At 37.1% G+C, this 22,697-nt stretch overlaps 1 long non-coding RNA gene across 1 annotated transcript in view, besides 1 other annotated feature; it reads right to left on the minus strand.

Annotated features, from left to right (window-relative positions):
* LINC02864 (long intergenic non-protein coding RNA 2864) overlaps positions 1-22,697 on the minus strand; it is a 110,441-nt gene that overhangs the window by 72,160 nt on the left and 15,584 nt on the right. The gene's annotated exons all lie outside the window — the stretch shown is intronic.
* Positions 18,986-19,577: an enhancer, noted in NCBI's record as "OCT4-NANOG hESC enhancer chr18:70912438-70913029 (GRCh37/hg19 assembly coordinates)". NCBI's record gives its function as "activates a minimal SCP1, AML or CMV promoter by ChIP-STARR-seq in naive and primed H9 embryonic stem cells {active_cell/tissue: H9 hESC(naive and primed)}" and the evidence as "EXISTENCE:reporter gene assay evidence [ECO:0000049][PMID:30033119]".

Here is a 22,697-nt window from a genome sequence, read left to right on the forward strand (position 1 = left end):
CTCACTACATATGCTTCTTCAACCTTTTAGTAAAGTGCCACTGTGGCTTAGGCTCTGTAATGCCACAGAACTGTCCTTGTTGCCCCACCTGATGAGCTATCATTAGAATTGTTTGGTGTGGAAAATTCCCACCCACACCCTGGACCACATGCCTCGCTACTCACAGAGATAAGTGATCCCTACAAAGCAAATTACCGGTTGGTTCCTTCATTTTCCCCCAAGTACCTGTCAGTTGAAAATGCACACATACATATGCACATTCAAATATATTTTTAAGATAATGGTATTTTTCACTTTAGAAGAACCAAAGCTAAATTGTAGTCTTAATTGTGAGACATTCATACCTACATTATCATCCCTCAACAATATATTTGGTCAAATCAATGGAAGGACAGAGAGATATGGAAAGACACATGTTTACATGATAATTGTCTTTGATACGTATTTAAGAAGCTTAACTTCTGCTAAAAGTCTTACATTAGGATTACTAGAAGGTGAACTGCTGAAAACAAAAGGGGAGCCTGCACCTTCTTAACAAAATTCTAACATGCATATTACTACTTTCAATATACAAAGTGGATATTTATTTAAAAACTACACCATGCACATGGGCTACAATGTAATCATCCTGAGAAACTATCAACATATTCTGAGGATGGTTTTATACAAACACACACACACACACATACAAACTCACCACTCTCATCTACACCATCATCCAGTTCTGTCATCTGACCTCCAAAACATGTCATAACTCAGCCCCCTGCCCTCCCTCCTCACTGCCACCTTCCTAGTAGAAGCCCTCATCTGTACCAGGAAAGTGCAATAGTCATAAAAGGGTGATTTTTCTGTCCATTTTGACCCTTATATTGCTCATAAAGCAGAGTGATCATTTTGAGGCTGTAAACCAGATCAAACAATTGCCTTTCTTAAAATACTCCAGTACCTTCTCCTTACACTGCGAGTTCAGTACTGACTCCCTCTTTTGGCTTCTCTGTGCAGCTCAAGTTTGTCTTTCTGTTGTGCTGTTCTCACCACTGTCCTACAGACTCCAGCCACGCAAGCTTTTCTGCTCCTGCCTCGCCCAGGTTGCTTCTTTCTAACACCTTATATACTAGCTCTTCCCTGTGCTTGATACATGTTTACTATTAATATTTGCCAAGTCACCTCCTTCTTGTCATTTTATTCCTCTTGACATCTTATTAATTAACATTTTATTAAGGTTTTTCTTGGTTATCATTTTTGTAGAATGTAAGTTTTCTGATACCAGGATTGTATCTGCCTTGTTCACCATTGGATCTTTATTGCCAGTAATACTCTGTCACAGAATAAAGCTTTTGATATGTTTAATTTATTTGGTGAAAATATGAACAAAAGAATATGTAAATTGACTAAATCAAAAGCAAATAAATATATGAAAGAAGAGAGAAGAGCCTTAAGGCTACAATTTAATTTCTCTGTAACTATTTGTTTTGATACAATTACTATAAGTTATTCAGCATTACACTATATGTTCAAGCACTAATTTTGAAGAATATATTTTACTCTAAATTGATTAATGAAAAGGTAAAAAAAAAACATGTCCACTAACAAACACAAATACATTGCAAAGTTTCATACTTGACGAAGGTGCTCAATAAAATGCTATTATGGTTTTCTATGTTTTCAACGTCGTGGGATTAATACATTTTTGTCAGTATATATGAATGTACTTGAGTAAACCTCTATGCAAACATAATACGTTTCCATTTTTCCTCACTTGAGATTATGTTACTTTCTGCTCCACAGCAACTGGCAGATGACTTCTTGTTTGGATTATTATTACTTATTCTATGCTAGTGGTTCACAAACCTAGCTGCTCATTAGAATTGTACACAGAGAGCTTTGTAAAAATATACATGCTATGACTCTTTCTCCAGAAATCCTCATTTAGGACTTTTGTGTGGGGCCAAGCAATGTGTACATTTTCATAAGCAGCTGAGACATGCTTATGTATAGCAGGAACTGAGGCTCACACGTGTATACTAAAACTCGATACCATGACACTTCATTCTGACACCTTCTTTTCTATAGGAAAAAAATGCACCTAATTCATAAAAATCTTACAAGCAAGGCTGATTTGGCCATTGCCTTTACATTTCAGAAACAATGTCTCTTCCTTGTGATTAAATCCAGAAACATCCTTCTGAAGAGATAATGAAAGTCGAGGATTTGCCTTTAACTTCCTTCAGTGAGTGAACCCACAATTATCAGAGACACATGGCAGAGTGCAGCTCCTAAATGAACTAAGACAGCTCAAAGCCATGAGTTAAGACCCAACATCTAGGCCACTATAAAAATTCTTAGAACTTGGCCGGGCGTGGTGGCTCACGCCTGTAATCCCAGCACTTTGGGATGCTGACGCGGGTGGATCACAAGGTCAGGAGATCGAGCCCATCCTGGTTAACACGGTGAAACCCCGTCTCTACTAAAAAATACAAAAAAAAAAAATTATCTGGGTGTGGTGGCGGGCGCCTGTACTCCCAGCTACTCGGGAGGCTGAGGCAGGAGAATGGCGTGAACCCGGGAAGGCAGAGCTTGCAGTGAGCCCAGATCGCGCCACTGCACTCCAGCCTGGGTGACAGACTGAGACTCCTTCTCAAGAAAAAAAAAAAAAATCCTTAGAACTTGACAAAATAATGTGCGGATGAATGAGTTATTTTAATATTCAGCACCCAAATTATCTTTGTCTTTAGTTCCAGAAGGAATAGCTAAAACCTAAATTTTAAACTTAGGCTTTGAAAGCCATATTTATTTTCTCTCTTAATTTAAGATAATTCTAACATAAAATTATATGAAAATTCAAAATTCTGCAGCCTTTCCTAAGAGAGCAAGAAAAACTTAGTGACAAGAGGAGAGAGGGTGAGATATGTTAAATCGTGATACCCTGAGGTGGGATGCCATCTCAGGATTTTGAGTGAGTAAAGGTATCTAATTCTAGTTTGATAGTCTGACTACTCCGTTAAGAACAATTGGCACCTCACATTTAGGTGGTGGGGAAATAAGTGCTAAATCCTCTTTCTGCCCTGGGAATCAGCACGCCACAGTGAGTAAAGACAGGGACTCTGGAACTCTGTGTCCTGTGCCTGGTTCCTAGCTTTGTGACATGATAACCAGATGGCCTTGGAGAAGACACTTACTCTATCTGTGCCTCATTTTTATAATCTGTAACACTAGCACTTAATTTATAAACTTGTTGTAAAGACTATATGAGTTAATAAATGGAAAGCTCTTTGAATAATATGCTACAATGCAACTTGTTGTTATTCAAGTTATCCTCTCTAAAAGTTAGCCTCACAATCCACAGAAGAAGGTATTAACACATACTCCTCTGAGTTCTTGTAGTATTAGATGATATGTAATAGATGTTTATTAATTAGTAGCTTTTGTATGATCTGATCATGTGTCTGTGTGTGTGTGTCTGATTTTTGACAGAGCACAGAACACAAATATGTCTTCAACCTTTTGTTTACCTTGTGCCATCTGCAAAACATTTAATGTGCCTCCGACTGCAGGTCCTTTTGTATCATTTTTTGTTCCCATCATTTTATGAGATATTCAGCTTCTGAAACATTTTTACACAGAAGTTACTTAGAGACTTCCAATATGATGATTTCCAATAACAAAGAGAGTAGCACAAAAATTGATATATTTTGGGGTTGTCAGTGCTTTCCAGGCGCTTCTGCAGATGGGTGTACTGTAGCCCATACATAACCAGGTTTTCTAAGGTGGCAGTGATATAAAAAACCCTGGCCTGTATTCATTTACTTTCCTTCTACAATTTAATAATTTTAACTCAAAAGAAAAAGTCATATATTAATGTCTTATTGAGATGATATTTAATTTGTCATATTCTTTCTCTGTTTGTGCTCATATGTAATCACTCACTATGGAAGACATACCCTAAGGTGAGTCCCAATGAGTCAGGTCCTTGAATGGAGGTGGGACTTGTGACTTCCTTCTAATCAATAGAGAACGGCAAAGGTGATGACATGCCCATGGTTGTGTTATGTTAGACTCTGTTTAGCACACTGAGGTGAGAGATTTGTCTGCCTACTTTGAAAAAACAAATAGCCATACTGTGAACTGCCCAGTAGAAGACCACGTAGCAAAGGGGCATGGGTAGTCTCTCAGACCTGAGAAAACCCCACAGCCAAGAGTCAGTAAGAAGCTAGTTTCCTTAGCATTCAGCTGCAAGAAAATGGATTCTGTCAACAATCTGAATGAATGGGGAAAAAGATTCTTCCCCAGAAGAACTTCCAGATGAGAACACACTCCAGCTTCTTCCTGCCCTGCATCCTTGTGAGATCATGAGAAGTGGACCTAGCAGAGCAACTCCCAGATTATTAATCCACATAAACTGTGAGATTACGTGTCATGTGACTTAAATTTGTTCTGATCTGTTGTGCAGCAATAGAAAACTAATACACACAGTCATATGCAAATTGCTATTGAAAACTGACTTTTTAAACTCTATTTTCCCACCCTGAAATTACAACATGCTTTCCATTTTAATTCACTGATTTTGCCACATAGTGTATTTTAGTAATATGATAGTACAAGAAGCAATAGATTCTCATAAATAGTTTCACCTATGTAAATGTGTTTTTAATACCTGTATATGTAGAAGATACCTTCTACATTAAACATATACTAGTCAAAGTTGGGCTTTTTTCAACAGCCATGCTTATTTCTCCCTAAAAGTGGATGCCCTTATTTTTGCAGCATCATCTCTTCTGCATGCACAACTCTAAATCTAGTAGTGCGTTCTGTGCATCAGGCACAAAATAATCTTTACTTGATGTAGTAGCAGATAACTCTCAGTTCATTGGTAATTAAATTGGGTAACATGTTTTCATCTCCTCTAGGATGATCTGAACACCACTTCTTTCGGTACTTATGATGTTACACCTCCATTGCCCATACTGTTCATATTTCTTTTACCTTCTCAAATTTTATGCACTTGTAAATACTGTCATTTCTTTGGTGACTGCCATCATAATGGAAACTTTACTTTTTTTTGGTGATAATATATGCCAATTGTCTTCCACTTTCTAGGCAGTTAGCTCAACAATCCTCCATCAGGAATCCTGTAACGTATTATTTCCCTTGCTAATGGTGCAAGTATTGCAGAATTTCATGAAAGCCTACAACCAAAAGGCAGATGTCTCCTTTAATTTTTCTTTATGTCTCCCCATAAGGGAGTGCATCTTTTTAAACAATTTTGTTTTGTGTAGAGTAGATTAGACCAGAGTGGAATCTTTCAAATTTCTCTAAAAACTGCCTAACAGTGTTCAATATGGGGTGAATCTCATTACTAGATGTTACCTCAGAATTACTTCATTATCACTAGCATTTTAGTCTTTAAATGTTTCTTATTCATTTGCATTTGATCTTTTATTTAGATTGATTGCTTGGACTATTTCTATTTTATTCTCATTTTGAAGGCATGTTGTTTTAAAATAAATCATTAGATGGTAATAGTAAAATAGATATCAAAAAAAATTTTCAGAATATCTTAATCTTCTTTTGTGGCCTGAAAAACATGGAGTGATAAATACTAGAAAAACTGTCTTTTTAGTGGATTTGCCTTTTTGTATTTCTATATATTTTTTCTTTGTTTAAGATGGAATCTTGCTCTGTTGCCCAGGCTGGAGTGCAGTGGCATGACCTCAGCTCACTAAAACCTCTGCCCCCTGAGTTCAACCAATTCTCCTGCCTCAGCCTCCCAAGTAGCTGGTACTACAGGTGCATGCCACCACACCCAGCTAATTTTTGTATTTTTAGTACAGATGGTGTTTCACCATGTTGGCCAGGCTAGTCTCGAACTCCTGACCTCAGATAATCCACCTGCCTCGGCCTCCCAAAATGTTAGGATTACAAGCGCACACCAGCACGCCCGGCCTTGTATTTGTGTGTCTTTTAATAACTTGTTTCCTCCCTGTGTGCCTCTCTGAAAGCAGAAGCTTCTAGTACTTCACCTCCTTAATATACAAAGTTGCGTGTGGTCCATCCATTGTGGATTTTACATTTAAGATAGAGAAAGCCTCTAAAGCTCAATGAATATAATGAAACAAAGTTGAGTTTTAGGCTCCATGACAGGCAGCAGGGATGTAATTTAGGCAGGGTGCCTGACTTGTGCACTTCGATAAGTGTGGCATAAAATAAAGAATGACAACTCTGCTTAGACTGAAAAACAGCAAAAGCTTCCCTGTGCCATCTATTGCCTGTGAGGCTGGAATAGGGACAACTTAATTCACATCTTTGATGCTCAGTTTCTTCATCTACAAGTAAATCTGTGACATAATACATACATATATATATGTATACGTAATACATACACATATACATATATATATATATCATCAGGAGCCACAGATAACAAATTCAGTTTAATTTTGCATATCAAAACAATAAGGAAAAAACAAGATATAATGGCTTATGTGGTTTTCACTCAAAAGGAAAGAGAGAAAAAATGGAAAGCAGACTGTGTGTGTGTGTCTGTGAGTGTGAGTGTGTGTGTGTTTGTGAACAAAATAAATATATATATGACATTAAACTATACCGTCAATAGGTCAATACATAGATATATATGGCATTAGATGTTAAAAAGTGTATTGTGTAAAATCTTAAAAGGGACATTAACTAGCATAATAGGCACTGCTTTTATCTGCAATTTCGCTAAAGATAGAGAAATTTTCTTCATGTGGCTGTTTCTTAGAATAACCTTCGATAAAAGACAAGGGCACAGCCTTACATGGCAATTCAATTAAGGCACTTCTATGGAGGCACTAAGCCAGTCGAGCTTGTGCATGAGGTTTAACCGCCTGTAGCAATAAAGTTCGGTGTCTCTATAGCTCGGAAGTGAATATGCTCTAAAGTCTGTCTGTGTCTCTCTGTCTCTGTTACTAACAACAGCGTTTCACTTCCTTATCAGTTTCTGCGTCAGTGACTTGAGCAGGAAATGTGGCATGCATTATTTGTGCATCACCTATTAACAAACAATTCATTTACATTACCCATTCCCTCCATTACTGTAAATACTTTATTTTCTTCATTGACTTGTAAACTTTCAACTCTTCAAGATTATTGAATCCCATATTTGAAACAAATATTTAAAATGCATGACCACAATTCTTGCAATTTTGGGGAAGCAACAGTTTAACAGATTCATGTGTTAATATAACAAATCTAAATAGACGGTTAGACCTATGGAACGTGTATATGAGCAAACAGGTGGGATGATCAAGTCTATCAAAAAGGGAACCTGGTTTCGATCAGAACTCCTTGGACTTGTTGATTTCACAGTTACCTCTGGAGAGGACCCATTATGTTCACCACCACATTATGATCATTATGATAACCCTCTTTCCCTAACACCTCAGGCCAAATTATGAACTCCTTCTGAAGTCATAATATTTAGGCAATTTACTGAGCCCTATCTCAGAATTTTGGGGAAGTAGCAAGAATTAGAGAAAAAATAAAGTATATTCTTTCTTTTGAGAGGAAGTAAAAATTGCTATGTTTCCTTTAATCCCTAATAAGCTTAATGAAGGTGCATTTGAATTGTACTCTTTCACTTACGTGACTTATTTTACTTATAGAGAAGTCAACTGGACACATTTCCTTGGAGGCTACTTGACAGCTTGTTCACATGGTGACATTTTTCTGACCTTGGCTTATATTTTTTTCTATTTCAGAATCACTTGGGAGACTACCATGAGACATTTTAATTTGGGCTATAAGTGTTCCCATTCTGTCACACCCTCGACATATGGCAGACGCACTGCTGAAGGACCTAACTTTCAGTTCAGTGTTTTTAAGAAGAAAAAGTAGAAATTCTTACATTCATAGCTAATCTATCTGTCAATAACAGAAAAGTCAAATTATATTTTAAAGTTATATTTTCAGGAGAAACTCTAACTTGTATGTTCTCATTTCATTGAAGTATTATTTTGAGGTAAATTTATTGCTTAATCCTGTGGTAAATTAAAAATATTTTAAGTATATTATGAAGTTAAAAATTACTATAATAATATATTACATATATATTACTGATGTTAAAAATCTGATAAAGCTTAAATTAAAGCTGATAAAGATTAAAAGATGAAAATACTATGATCTTTTAAAGAACTCTAATTAACATATCTTCCGTAAAATTCATCCATTTATGTCATTTAATTTTGTTTTCATTATTATCAATGCTGCTATCTTTTGAATCCATAAAAGACTACCATTCAAAATTGTTGAGCAAAAGAAACTAAATTTTTTTTTTTTTTTTTTTTGAGACGGAGTCTCGCTCTGTCGCCCAGGCTGGAGTGCAGTGGCGCGATCTCGGCTCACTGCAAGCTCCGCCTCCTGGGTTCACGCCATTCTCCTGCCTCAGCCTCCCGAGTAGCTGGGACTACAGGCGCCCGCCACCACGCCAGGCTAATTTTTTGTATTTTTAGTACAGACGGGGTTTCACCGTGTTAGCCAGAATGGTTTCGATCTCCTGACCTCGTGATCCGCCCGCCTCGGCCTCCCAACGTGCTGGGATTACAGGCGTGAGCCACCGCGCCCGGCCAAGAAACTAAATTTATTAGAATTACTAAAAGGTAGAATGCTACCTTAATAGAGTCTTAGCAGTTTCTCAATATGAGGAAATTAGAGAAAGGTATTCATGAGGTTTGACAGGCTCGGCTGAGTGGTTCTGGGATTAAACTTGTAGGGTGAAGTTTATCTATGGGTGGAGTTTAGTTTATCACATCCTAGCTTGGATTGGGAGGCACAGAACAATGTCTTGAAAGAAATCTTGAAGAATTCACTTGATTTATGTAAGTAAATAGTTGTTTCATAGTCTTAGCTTCCAGAAGCAAATATTTGTTGGGGCAAGCAGCAAATTCTTTTAATTTAATCTTAATATACTTGTATGTGTGTGTTTAGTATAACATCATTATTAAATTAGGTGATAAGTTTACATTTTAACCTAAAATATTAACTATTTTAGTGTATTCAATAACTATGAGTCTCTTTGAATTTACACCTTTAATATACTGTAATGCTTTCCTTAAGAATCCAACCACATTAATTTTCTTGTATACATATTAATAGTTCAGTAACTGTTGTATCTAATTGAAGGGAGAGTTCACTTATGTTAAACAAAGTGATCTCTCTTTGATGTGCATTTTAAATGAACTACATAATTCATGTCGAGCTTCCCCTACATGGCCAGTGCAATTTCTTATCGTCCTTACAGCCACGAATCCCACCGGGGCATTACACACGTATGTTAAAAGACGAAGCAGGCAAGTGTTTGTACTGTAGAGCCAAATGGTGAACAGCCATAAAAATAGTACTTGCTGGTGAAAACGACACGTGTGCAAACCAGGTGGCTCCAGAACATGACCAAAGACTAGTCACTGCCAGCCGGAGCTATGACACATTCTCTAGACAGTCAAAACAAAACAAAGCTGTTCTCAGTACCATTAAGACTGATGAAAGCCCTTTTGCTACGTGGAAAAGGTGACTCAATCTAAGTGTGTTCTATAAAGAGGCTGATGGAATGCAGCCTTCTGAAGTGACCAGCAATGTAGACATTCTGAAGAGAGGAACTTGAAGGATCTACAAGCACCCTTTTCCCTTTGAAATTCCTTTTATAGGTTAACAAATAATGTGGAGAAAAAAAAACAAAAACAAAAAAACAAAATTGAACTGATTGTGTAGTGAGGTTGGTTACCAATCAATTGTTCCCCATGGGTTAGAGTTTTCACCCCCATTCAGATTATCAAAAGATTCATAAAAAAGAAATTCCTGATTGAGAGTTTCAAGAAAGGACATTTCAGTTTAGTCAAAACACAGGGCATACTTATTACTATTGTAGTCAGAGGCTTTGTGGGCCTCAGGGAAGTGAGCTGTTTCTGATTTAAGGGCCTGAAATGTGATGCTGAGGATATTTCTATCTGATCTTGTTGGAACATCCAGATTGTCATAGTTGTACAATGGATACCATTTTCCAGATCAACAGAAAAACCTCATGATGAGTACATTTTACAAGATTTACTGTAGGGAAGAAGAATACCACTTTGCTAGAACACAGTATCTCAAAAGAGAAAAAATTCAGGAAGGGTATTTATAATGTTTTATTTCTCATCCAGATGGTTTTAAAGCAGTTTTGGGTAGGAACAACTTATGATACAATAGCTTTGGATTGGTAGGCACAGGAAGGCAAATTTTTTGAAGAGGGTCTTGAGAGCAAACTGCACCGATTCATTCACATTCTCACATTCGTATCTTTCAGGAGAAAGCATTTCTTAAGCAGGCAGCTAAGTGTTTTACCCTGGCCCAGGAGTGTTTAAGAGGGACTGGAAAATGTAAATCGTCCCTAGATTGTTTATTGTATCAATAAGTATCCATTCTGCCACTACTACTTATTTGTATTTTTATTTATTTATTTGAGATGGAGTCTCATTCTGTGGCCCAGGCAGGAGTGCAGTGGCTCAATCTCAGTTCACTGCAACCTCTGCCTCCCAGGTTCAAGCGATTCTCCTACCTCAGCCTCCCGAGTAGCTGTGACTATAGGCACATACCACCAGGCCTGGTTAATTTTTGTATTTTCAGTAGAGACGAGGTTTCACCATGTTGGCCAGGCTGTTCTTGAACTCCTGACCTCAGGCGATCCAAAGTGCTGGGATTACAGATGTGAGCCACCACGCCCGGTGCCACTATTACTTATACCAGACATGCTGGGATACAGAGTTAAACAAAACACATTTAGTAATGAGTTGACAATCTGGAAAACATGACAGATGAATAGAAATAATGGCAGTCCTCGATATCTTATAGTACATGCTAAATATGGTGTATCAACTAAATACTATGGTGCTTGATTTCTGATACATTAACACAAATGCTACTTACAAATTTATTTAAGGAGAGTAGTAAAACATTCATGAGACTTGATGCAAGACATAATGTAATACTTTACTACAGACAAAATCATCTACAAAATACTTAGGAAACGCTAAATTGATTTCTAATTGATAAAAATTTATTCTAATCAGATTTTTCATATATATATTTGTGCAAGATAGTGCTTTGTAATGGTTTTGCATCATAGTTATATGAGTTTTGCTCCCAATCTTATACACATATAATATATCATATCTAAATGTATTAAATGTTTTATTAATTTACTTAGATTACCCAGTGTGAATGACAATAAATAATATCAGTAATAAGTGTATGTGACTTAAAGCTAATGATCGCCTACAAAGAAAAACAAGGATGCCTTCTCTATTTTTTTTTTAAACCACATTTCATGGTCCAAGAAACCCCAACAGCTTTTGAGGAATGGTAATGAGGCAGTGTCCTCTTGGGAAATGTTACCTTTGAGAACATTATACTTTCTCACAGACCTTTGGAGAAAAAAAAATCTGGTACTCTGAAGCAATCGCAACAATTTTCATCTTATGTGAATTGATAACAGAATCTTGTAAGGAAGATTGCTGTATAAATTGCTATGGCAAACTCTGCTATAAACTAAGTTGAAAATTAGGGGTGTAAGAGTGTGTGTGTGTGTGTGTGTGTGTGTGTGTGTCAGGGTGGAGGGGGACATTTAAAGAAAACCAGAAATAATGTATTTGTAGCATATTAAAATGTGAAGAAGTCTCAAACATTATCTCATCTAACCCTTATCTCTCAAATTCTATTTAATAGCCCTCTGTTTCCACAAGGTGAATTCGTTTGTCAAAGGTCTAGAATCTAGTTCTTCGTGACATTTGAGAACCATCTAATCCTCCTGAACTAGTCAGATATGGATTTTTTTCTTCTAAAACAAAATTTTGTTTTTGTTTTGTTTTATTTCTACACAGACTCGTCTTGTACCTCTAATTCTGCTCTTCTCAAACCTTTAGGCCATAGGATGGATCTAACTGAAAATCATCCTCCTATGAATTGCTGTGTGCTTTTCCCATATTTGCACAGTTGACCTAAAACACAAGCTTACAGATTATTTATGATCAAGTTCATGTGGATAGAATCACTGTTCTTTCAGAAACTCCATTAATTATTAAAATAAAAGACTTACAAATTGCATGATTGTGAGATATGTCTATTTACAAAACAACTTAGATATCACCTCTGAGTTCCAAACTTATATATGCAACTTCCTACTTGAAATCTCTCTCTCTTCAATGTTGCCAACTTTGGCCTTTGCATCCTTAACCCCAAAGCGGGCTCTCCCCCAGAGTTCTCTGTGTCAGTAATGGGTATGACAATCCTTTCATTCCCTAAGATTAAACTTAGTTCCAGCCCTTAGCATTTCCAAACCACCATAGCTATTTCCATTTTAAATATGCACCATTTCCTTCCCCATAATTCCATGTGAAGCTATCACCTCTCTCAGGACATCTGCAGCAGCCACCCGGGGACACCTTCCATATACAAACTTGCCCTCTTCTTTTAAAAACTGTCTTAAAAAGAGTTCTTTAAAAATGAGCCAAAGTGATTATTTTAATATTGAAGCCCAGGTTATGTTTTCCTCTCCTCACGTCAACTGAGTCCAATCAATGGCTTCGTGGTTTTCAGAAACGACTTCAACAAGCCATGCACACATCTATAGGGTCTGGCTACCGTGAATGTTTTTACCACACTTCAAACCGTGATCTCGGTAGGGCTCTGCACTCCAAACACCCTGGCCTTCCGTTTTTTCCTCCTTGACCCCATTCTTCCTGTTTCCAGATCATCTCCACACTGGCCACAACTTTCTTCTTTGCTTTTGCCTACCATTTTATCTCCTTCTCTGCCTTCAAATATTAGCTCAAAAGTCACTTCCTCAAGAAAGTCACAAGTTTACACCTATTTAGCAAATACATACCTCATCTTCTAGAATAGGATCTTTTGAATGGAGTTACCTTTTCTGTTTTTTGTTTGTTTGTTTGTTTTTGAGACAGAGTCTCCCTCTGTTGCCTAGGCTGGAGTGCAGTGGTGCGATCTCCGCTCACTGCACCCTCCGCCTCCCGGGTTCAACTGATTCTCCTGCCTCAGCCTCCTGAGTAGCTGGGATTACAGGCGCGTCACCAGGCCCGGCTCATTTTTGTATTTTTAGTAGAGATGGGGTTTCACCCTGTTGGTAAGGCTTGTCTTGAACTCCTGACCTTGTGATCTGCCCGCCTTGACCTCCCAAAATGCTGGGATTACAGGCGTCAGCCACCACACCTGGACACCTTTTCTGTTTTTATACATCATTTATCCTCTATGCATAGTGGTTAATGAACTGACTAGGCACACACACACACACACACACACCCACACACAAACACACACACGTACCCATGAATGAATATATGGTCTAGACTTTCTTTTTCCAAGATAGAGACATACTAAAAGATGAAAGTATTTGTAGTTAGTTTTTCCTTCATAATCAGGTTATACAACAACAGAAGCTACCCCCTCTCATGCAGTATTAAGAAAAGCTACTCAAGTGGTTCCCTTAATAACCACTTCACAATTAACAATGAGTATGTGTTGTTAGGGGTCTATTCTACAAGTTGATTTCATTTTCATTTCTGTCTGTCATCCTGGAACCTGTGCTCAGAATCTTTTTCTTTATTTTTAAGCTAATATGAAATATACCCTTCAAAAAATAAAAATGTGTCTTAAGCTTGATGCAAAGTCATATCACACTAAGTTAATGTATATTTTCAATGAGATAGGATTTAGACCTGTCCTGTCTTAGTGTAAATAGACCAATAATTTGACCAGGCAATAAGAGTCTAAAGTGTATAAAAATTCAAATGGAAAAAGAAATACACAGAAATAATAGGGAAAATCCCAAAAGGAAGAGGTTGTGAAGTGATGAACCCTATCAAAGTGTACTTCAAAGCCTCTTTAAAAAAAAAGAGCTTGGCACAGGTATGCAGAAACCAGACCAGTCAGATAGATTAAAAATTCCAGAAATAGACACAGTAATACAGTAAATAATAAATGTTGTATCTCAAAATACTGGGGCAAAGATGAACTTTTTATCAAATGTCCTGGGACAACCAGATAGTCACCTGGGAAACGATGTAATAAGATTCATTCCTTACACCAAACTCACAGATAAACTTGAAATTCACCAATAATATAAATGTAAAACATGACACAAGTATTAAAAGAAAGCATAAGTAAATTTTTCTATAGAGAGGTTAAAGTGGAAAAAGTATTCTAAACATGATACAAAGCCAAAATATAATATAAAGCAGGCGAATATATTTTTACATTAAAAGCAATAGCCTGGCTAATAAATAAAAACACAAAAACAAAGTTGAAAGACAAATAACAAACTGGAAGAAATGAAATGTATAAAAAGAGTATGTGATAAAAGCATGGAACAAAATGGTAATAATATGTGAATTTGGATAAAAAATATACAGCTGTTGTTTTCTCTACTACTATTGTACTTCACTGTTGGTTTAAAATTATTTCTAAAATTTGAGCTAAAAGTTAATAAATAAAACATTCTAGTTATATGAATATCCAGTTTACATTTTAAATTAAAAATAATGATTGAGGAAAGTCTTAATCATTTCATAAGGTTTATTTGTCAAAGTTAAGGACGTGCACTCAAGAGACAGGTCTATGCCTTTCTCCAAAGATGACTTTGAAGGCTTCGATATTGAAAGGGGAAAGGGCAGATATTGGAATAAGAGAAATATTTGTAAAATGTGTTAGTAGATAGAAAAACAAAATGGTTGCATTCTTTTGAGTATTTGATCAGCCTTTCACTGAATACACAATTTACATGTGACAGGTATTAGAGGAATAGTTACTTACACCTTCATCTGGCTCAGTGAATCAGCATTTTTACATAAGATAACATAGACAATAGGGCACAGGAAGCTAACAGATATGCATTTGTCTCAGGTGAGCAGAGGGATGACTTTGAGTTTTCTCCTTTGCCCTGTACCCACAAAGATACACTATCGATTTACATTGCCAGGGTGAAATTCAACAGAACTGTTTTAGGGGAAAGATCTTGGGTCCCACAAGGAATTTTGTGTGGGGGTGGGGGCGGGGGGAGGGAACTGTGAGGGAGGTATGTAGCTTTTTATCTTTGTAGCTATCTTATTTAGGAATCAAATGGAAGGCAGGTTTGTGGGGCCCAGTTCCCAGCTTGACTTTTCCCTTTGGCTTAGTGAGTTTGAGGTCCTGAGATGTATTCTCCTTTCACAATATCACATCAACATGGCATATGTGGAGGTAAATAAAGCAATCTTAGGACCCACATGGATACTTAATGATGTATGTATTGACTGCGTATAAAGTTTATACTCTTAAAATTAGCTTTTAAAGAAGAATTCAGTTACCATCTGTAAAAAGACTATTTGATAACACTAATAAGAAAAAAAATTCCCTTTGAACATGTAAACTATAGGCCACACTCTGACTTTTAACACGACCCAATTGACCAAGTATTTTAATAGATGGCAACTATTTTCATTACTGCCATTCTATATGCCCGAAGGTAGGTATCAACGCAAATAGATGTGTGGATGGCTACAGAGAAGCAGAAGGTAAGAGACAGAGAAGAGCTATATAATGAGTGAATATTATCAAAGTAGAAGTTGCACCAGGAAAATTTAAACAGGCACGGAAAACTTTACTCCAGACTCTTGCACTAAGGAAGAGGAATCAGAACTGAGTCTGAGCTCAGCTTCTTGAAAAAGAGGGAAAAGTTTTAAGAGCTGGTGTGGGGAAAATCTTAGGTCATCTGTGTTTCCTAATTGGCCTCTCACCAAAGTAAAAGTAAAATTTTCTTTATCTCCATCATAGGAGGAAATTTTTCAACTTGGAGCAAGATGCCCACAGAGGTTAGGCACCTACCCTCCCACAGATGCTGGAAGACAGAGGCACCATCTTCCCTGATGATTGCATTTCTTTTTTGTGTGTTTGTTTTTGAGATGGAGTCTCACTCTGTTGCCCAGGCTAGAGTGCAGTGGCACGATCTTGGCTCACTGTATCCTCCACCTCAAGAGTTCAAGCAATTCTCCTGCCTCAGCCTCTCGAGTAGCTGAGATTACAGGCCCGCACAACCACGCCCAGCTAATTTTTGTATTTTTAGTAGAGACGAGGGGTTTCACCATGTTGGCCAGGCTGGTCTTGAATTCCTGACCTCAAGTGATCCACCCACCTTAGCTTCCCGAAGTGCTGGGATTACAGGTGTGAGCCACCGTGCCTGGCCGACGATTGCATGTCTAAGAGACACCTCAAAGGTCACTGTGAAAGACATTGCCTGGCTCTGAAAACAGGGAGGAGGTTTCAAAAAATGCTTATATTTCAAAGGGGCAGAAAAATAATTTAAACTTACAAGTATTCTAAAATAAATCCTCTAAGTAAAAGGATGTCAGGGCTACAGTGTTAAGAAAAAATATGTCTAAGAAGTCAAGCCAAACAGAATGTTAAGGTCCTCATGGTATCTAAAGATGGTGACTTTTATGGCAAGATGGGAAGTTAACGGGGAGAATAAAAATACCCTTATTCTACGGAAAAGTGAGGATCACACTAACCTACTTCTCAAGTTTTGTCCATGCTACAGATGGCTCTGGAAATATTTCAGCATTTTAAGAGAATAATTTGTACAGCATTCATGACAGAGTTTTTATATTTTGTCTTAATTTATAGTCATGTTTCCTGAATTTATCTTCTAAAAGGAAAATTCAGTAATATCATGTCCAGAAACAATGTAGTTAAATATTTTATTCCTTAGTATTAATGGGCTAAGTCACATAAAATTTATGAGGTAGTATGTTACAAACATCTTTAAAAACAATTTTTAGGAAAAAAAAGTATTATCCAATAAATAAATATTATACAAATCACTTAAATGGATGGTAAGTTATATTATTTTAATTTTAGCTATGACTCACTGGTTCTAACATCCTAAATGGTATGAGGTTTATCCAACATTTCTACAGTAAATTTTGAAAGAAAATCCTGGTTTTCAAAGTTAATATGGTATCATTAATTAGTTTACAAATCAAAGAGCTAACTATGGACAAATTAAGTTATGACTTGTTGTCAACACCTGAAAATACAACTCCTTATGAAAATCGTTTATAGTCCAACTATAATCTCTGTCAAACAAGTATGTGAAAGTAAACATTATTACTACACATACTACTGACATGGGAGATAGAAAGAAATTACTTAGGCACAGAGTAAGGGTAAAAGAGTCCTTGGAAGAATTCCCCTTTTAATAAAAAGCAGCCCCCAAATCATTTCTTTTCTAACAAAGAGCAGCCTGAAAAATCGAGCTTCAGACACAGATAAGGAAATGGAAAGCTTGCACAGGGGAATGCTGGCAAATGTGCCAATAGAAAGGGCCACCTGTAAACCAGGCATGTTCAACATGGAGGCTCCATCTCCCGTTTTCTTTGTTACCATGTGTGCAATAAAGAACCAAGCAACATGGCGCCGGCCAGGCAGACAGCCCATCTGTATAATAAAAGATTAGGCCTGTAATCCCAGCACTTTGGTAGGCCAAGGCAGGTGGATCACCTCAGGTTGGGAGTTCAAGACTAGCCTGACCAACATGGAGAAACCCCGTCCCTACTAAAAATACAAAAAAATTAGCCCGGCGTGGTGGTACATGCTTGTAATCCCAGCTACTCGGGAGGCTGAAGCAGGAGAATTGCTTAAACCCAGGAGGTGGAGGTAGTGGTGAGCCGAGATCGCACCATTGCACTCCAGGCTGGGCAACAAGAGCAAAACTCAGTCTCAAAAAAATAAAATAAAAATAAAAATAAATAAAAGTTTAGGGTGGGGCAGCCAGGTATTCAAATCCTGTGCAAATGGCACACCTAGCTCTAACCAGTTTTTCACACCCTATGCAAATAGCACACCTGGTCCAACCAATCTTTTGTGCCCTATGTAAATCAGATACGACATCCTCAAGCTCATCTATAAAATCCACTGCATTTCACCCAGAAAGTGGCAACCCATTTCTCAGGGACCCTTCCCCCTGCAACAGAGACAGCTCTTTCCTTTCTTTCACCTATTAAACTTCCGCTCTGAACCTCACCCTGTGTGTCTGCATCCTAGTTGTTCATGGCCTTAAGACAACAAATCTCGAGTATTTACCCCAGACAACAACGCTGCTTCGCTAATACAGATTATTTAAAAATGAACATTGTTACCCATCACAGGAAGAAGTTTTACAACTCTCCTGCTTCCCACTACCTTCTAAAATATAATTCATTTTAAGAATCTCATCTAAACATCCCAGAAAGGCCTCCTTCATAATTCTGAAAACTCTTGTGGGATTTGTGATCTGTGTGTTTCTGATCACACGCTGGCTTGGACTTGCAGTACTATGTATTGGCAATGCTCCAGTGACTATGCTCTCAAGTAAACCACATGTTCCTGGAACAACTAAGATGACTTTATGTCTGTCTTTCTATTTCCCCAGAAGACAACACTTGTTTTCATAATATGTTTGATTTTTTAAATACATATATAAGTTGATTAACAAAGGTAAATCAATGAGTAATGAGTGCAATAGCTTTAAACACATTATAACTTGTTTCAAGTTATGCTGTAGTTTTTATACGAAGGAGGGAGTATAATATGGCTATTTGATATAAAAGCCAGTCAATAGTTTAAGATTATATCAACTTAAACTCCAGGTAAGAAAAGGATATGCACATAGTAAATACTTCAGGGATATGTACATAGAAAACCAGAGAGAAAAACTGGCCAGGCGTGGTGGCTCACGCCTGTAATCCCAGCACTTTGGGAGGCCGAGGCGGGCGAATCACGAAGTCAGGAGATCGAGACCATCCAGGCTAACACGGTGAAACCCCATCTCTACTAAAAATACAAAAACTTATCCGGGTGTAGTGGCAGGCGCCTGTAGTCCCAGCTACTTGGGAGGCTGAGACAGGAGAATGGCGTGAACCCGGGAGGCGGAGCTTGCAGTGAGCCAAGATCACGCCACTGCACTCCAGCCTGGGCGACAGAGTGAGACTCCGTCTCCAAAAAAAAAAAAAAAAAACTGGAGAGAAAAGCTACAAATCAATTGAGTGCTTAATAGAAAACTACATCCTGGTATTTGGATTCAGAGAATTTTAAGTAAAAGGTGAGCTGAATCTTAGTTCTGCTGCTGAGAAAGAAACAAAGATATTTTAAACTAAAAACCTTCTGAGAAAAGTAAAATGAGTCACGAGGCATTGTTCTCTCATTAAGGGTATGAAAGACAAGTTGTTGTGTCCCACCTGGGGGTCAGGAATGAGACCACCCCTCCCCCGCTTATCTTGTCTACTGCAGCAATCACAGTTTTGCTTCCTTAGCAACCATTTCAGAAACCACTTTTCTCCCATCTGAGTCCTTGTTTACATGAGGCTGTTCTCACCCTGTGGTCGCAAGGCTGAGCCCAATCACTTCAGCGATGGAATCAGGGATCTGGATGTGGCACAACATCATGGATCAAAGAGAGTTTTACCAGAGAATTTTGCAGCTGCTATTTAGAAAAAGATGCTTTAGTGACCTTTCACTGCTGGATAAGAAAGATTTAACATGGCAGTTGCCCGGGCCAACTTTTAAAAGGAAACCATCTGAAAATGAAGCCAGTTCTGAGAAAGAGAGTGAATAAATGATAGAGATTAGAGAGAGAGAGATTAAATTTCTAATCATATTCACATTCACATTGTTTGTACTTTTGTGTGTATTTGTTAACTAAGTCAACCTTATCCCTGTACTTCCTGGTGTCATGCGTCAGTAAACTCCATTCTGTTTGAACTTGATTTGCTACCATTTGCAATTGAAAGGTCTTAGTTTTTATCACAGTGACTATATGTATAAATATATGTGCTAGCCCTTTTATTAATGTCAAAATTAATTGGAGTCAAATTTAATCTCACAAGACGAACACAATGAGAAAAGTTTAAATAAAATATCATTAAATGTTTAAATTGTTTGAAATATTCTTTCACTTAGAGGGTAAACATATCTAGATCATATGGATATATATATCATCTGCTCCTTACAAGATAGATAGCTACAAAATAGTACCTACAAAAATATTTTGTATTGATTTGTTAAATCAAAAATATTTTTCAACAAGGTACTCTATGCTAGGCTCTGGGAATACAATGATAGCCAAATATTCATATGTCTTTTACCCTTAGAGCTGTCATAGTTTAGTAGAAGGGATAACTATGATAAAATAATCACTCATATAAATGAAAAACTATAACTTTGTTTAGGGTAGGATAATTTAATCTAATCACTGAAGTTAGGAAATGCTAAAAGCCAATGAGTAAACATAAGAGTTAACATAATTATAACCCAGCTCAACAACGAAACAGAGCAACATGCTTTTTGTGAACATAAAACTTTCAAAATACAAATATTCAGTGCCACAACCAAGACATTAAGAACAAAAATACTCTTAAAACACATCCAATAGTTGTAGTCAGTAATTTGTAAACATGTTGTACAGTAGTACCTATATTATTTCAAAGCATCTGTATTTATTTTATTTTACTTTTCTGAGCCTCATTGACAATGGTAACTATATATTACTGCATCTTATTCATTTTCTCTAAGAGATCAAATGCTTTCCTATCAATGATTCCAAAAGGACACATGTAGATAATTCATTCAAAAGTCCATATTCGATGCTGAGAGAAAGCAAACTAAGTTTCTGTATTAATTCCTCCTCTGTTTGCATCTAGAGAATATGCACATATATGCGCACACATAAACACACACGCACGCTTTTAAACACATTACAGCTAGAGAATATAATGTGAACATTATCAGGGAGGATTGTACATAAAAAGTAGCTAAAACGATAGGAGGAAGGAAGTCACTAGATTTGGTCAGAGAATATTAGCTAGAAACTAATTGATGATGGAATAGTTAAAAATGGCTACATGGTTTGGGAAGAAAAAGTGAGAGAGTATTTTTTTTTTCTATAGAGAAGAGAGAAAAGTAAAAGCTTATCAGTGAACAAACAAGTAGATAATGATGGCCCCAGAATGAAAAAGATGGAGGAGAACTTCAGCCAACCTACTATGAATTTGCAGCTTGAGCAAGAAATAGGCCTTACTGTTTTAACCACTGAGATTTTGAACTTTTAAATCACAATGTAACTAAACCTAAAGTAAAATTGTGTATCTATGGCTTTAATATTCCTAGCTTGTTTGTAAAAGGCCCAGGCAAGTTTGGCATTTATGGAATTAAAGATAATGTGGAAAATAAGAAAACAAATCATTAAAACATTTTCAGTGCTTTGAATCGTTAAACAGAGAGCACTGTACAATGTGAAGTGTTGAGAATGGGAGGTTGAAAGAAATAGATTCCTTACAAAGTGTATGAGATATGACATTAGAATGAAAATTATTTGGATTTTTGGTCTGCTAAGAATTACGTCAGGGGGTAGTTGGGTGATTTTTGTTGAGAATTCAAAATGTAAGGAAATAGTAAAATATTAGTCTTGTAATGCAAATTTTCTAAACATGTGCAAAGAAATAATCATTAAAGAAGAAATGTAGGGAAGTATACAATTGAAAGGGTTAATAAGAGTGGGAATCTCAGAAAAAGGCATAGAAAAGAGGCACTAAGGAATTCAATCAAGCTATGGAGCTTTTGTCATCAGAGTCGCGTTGTATGTGTTGAGAATATTATTGAACCGGCAGAGGAACAGGTGTGTACAGCTCATGGGTGAATGAAACCTGGCAATCAGATCCACTGCCAATCACTCAGCCCATCAATTGGCTTGAGGAAATGGATGAAATGAAGTCCATACTTCTGAGCAAGGAAAGTAGCACTACAAATGAAACACAAATGTTGGATGCTTTAGGGGGAAGAGGAAAATTAGGTAATCAATGCACCATTTTCAAAGGTGCAGCTACTCCATTTAACATGAGAGGGAGTCATAAGTGGATGACAATATGCTTTTCAGGATACATGCAACAGACTGTGGAGTGGCCAATAATCCTTGAATAAACTGTAAGACTGACAACTCTGGCATGTAAAGAATGCTGACTTTTAAAAAGTAGTACTCACCTGTGAATCTAGATTAATCTCACAAGGCGATTGTCTGTCTGGAGCTATGTCTTATACAATAGTGTTTTAATGCAGTAATCGATCAAAAATGCATAACTTTTGACAGCTCATCACCTGTGTTTTTATTGTTTGCATTCAAATTCAGTGGCTTGCCATCAATAGGAATATCTTGGTTGGGTTGCTCTTAATACTTGGATTGCTCGTGCAATACCCATGTAACATGTCACAAAGTATAGGGGATGCAGATGCTTCCAAGCTACAGTGTGGCTCATAAAACAGGCATTATCAGAATAAACATTCAACTCTGCCATTTTAAAAATCATAGAATAAGATTAGAGAATAAACAGCAGGATTTACAATTGAATGAAGGCCCTCTGAACTCCCGATCTTCCTATCAGACCGTAAAAAGATCTACTGAGAGAGAAAGAAAGATCTTTTCTCTCATGGCTCTAAATTGACTATGTTAGCTCTAATAACAAAATGCCAGTTTAGGAAATAACCTGGCACATGGAAATAGATAAAACACACATAAAAGAGAAATGTTAGCATGCAGAAGAATAAAAATACATAGAAATAGGTGAAGATTACCTAAAATCATTAAAAAGCATTTTCTAAATAAATACCTC

The sequence above is a fragment of the Homo sapiens genome, chromosome 18, assembly GCF_000001405.40.
Source record: "Homo sapiens chromosome 18, GRCh38.p14 Primary Assembly".
NCBI classification, from domain to species: Eukaryota; Metazoa; Chordata; class Mammalia; order Primates; family Hominidae; genus Homo; species Homo sapiens.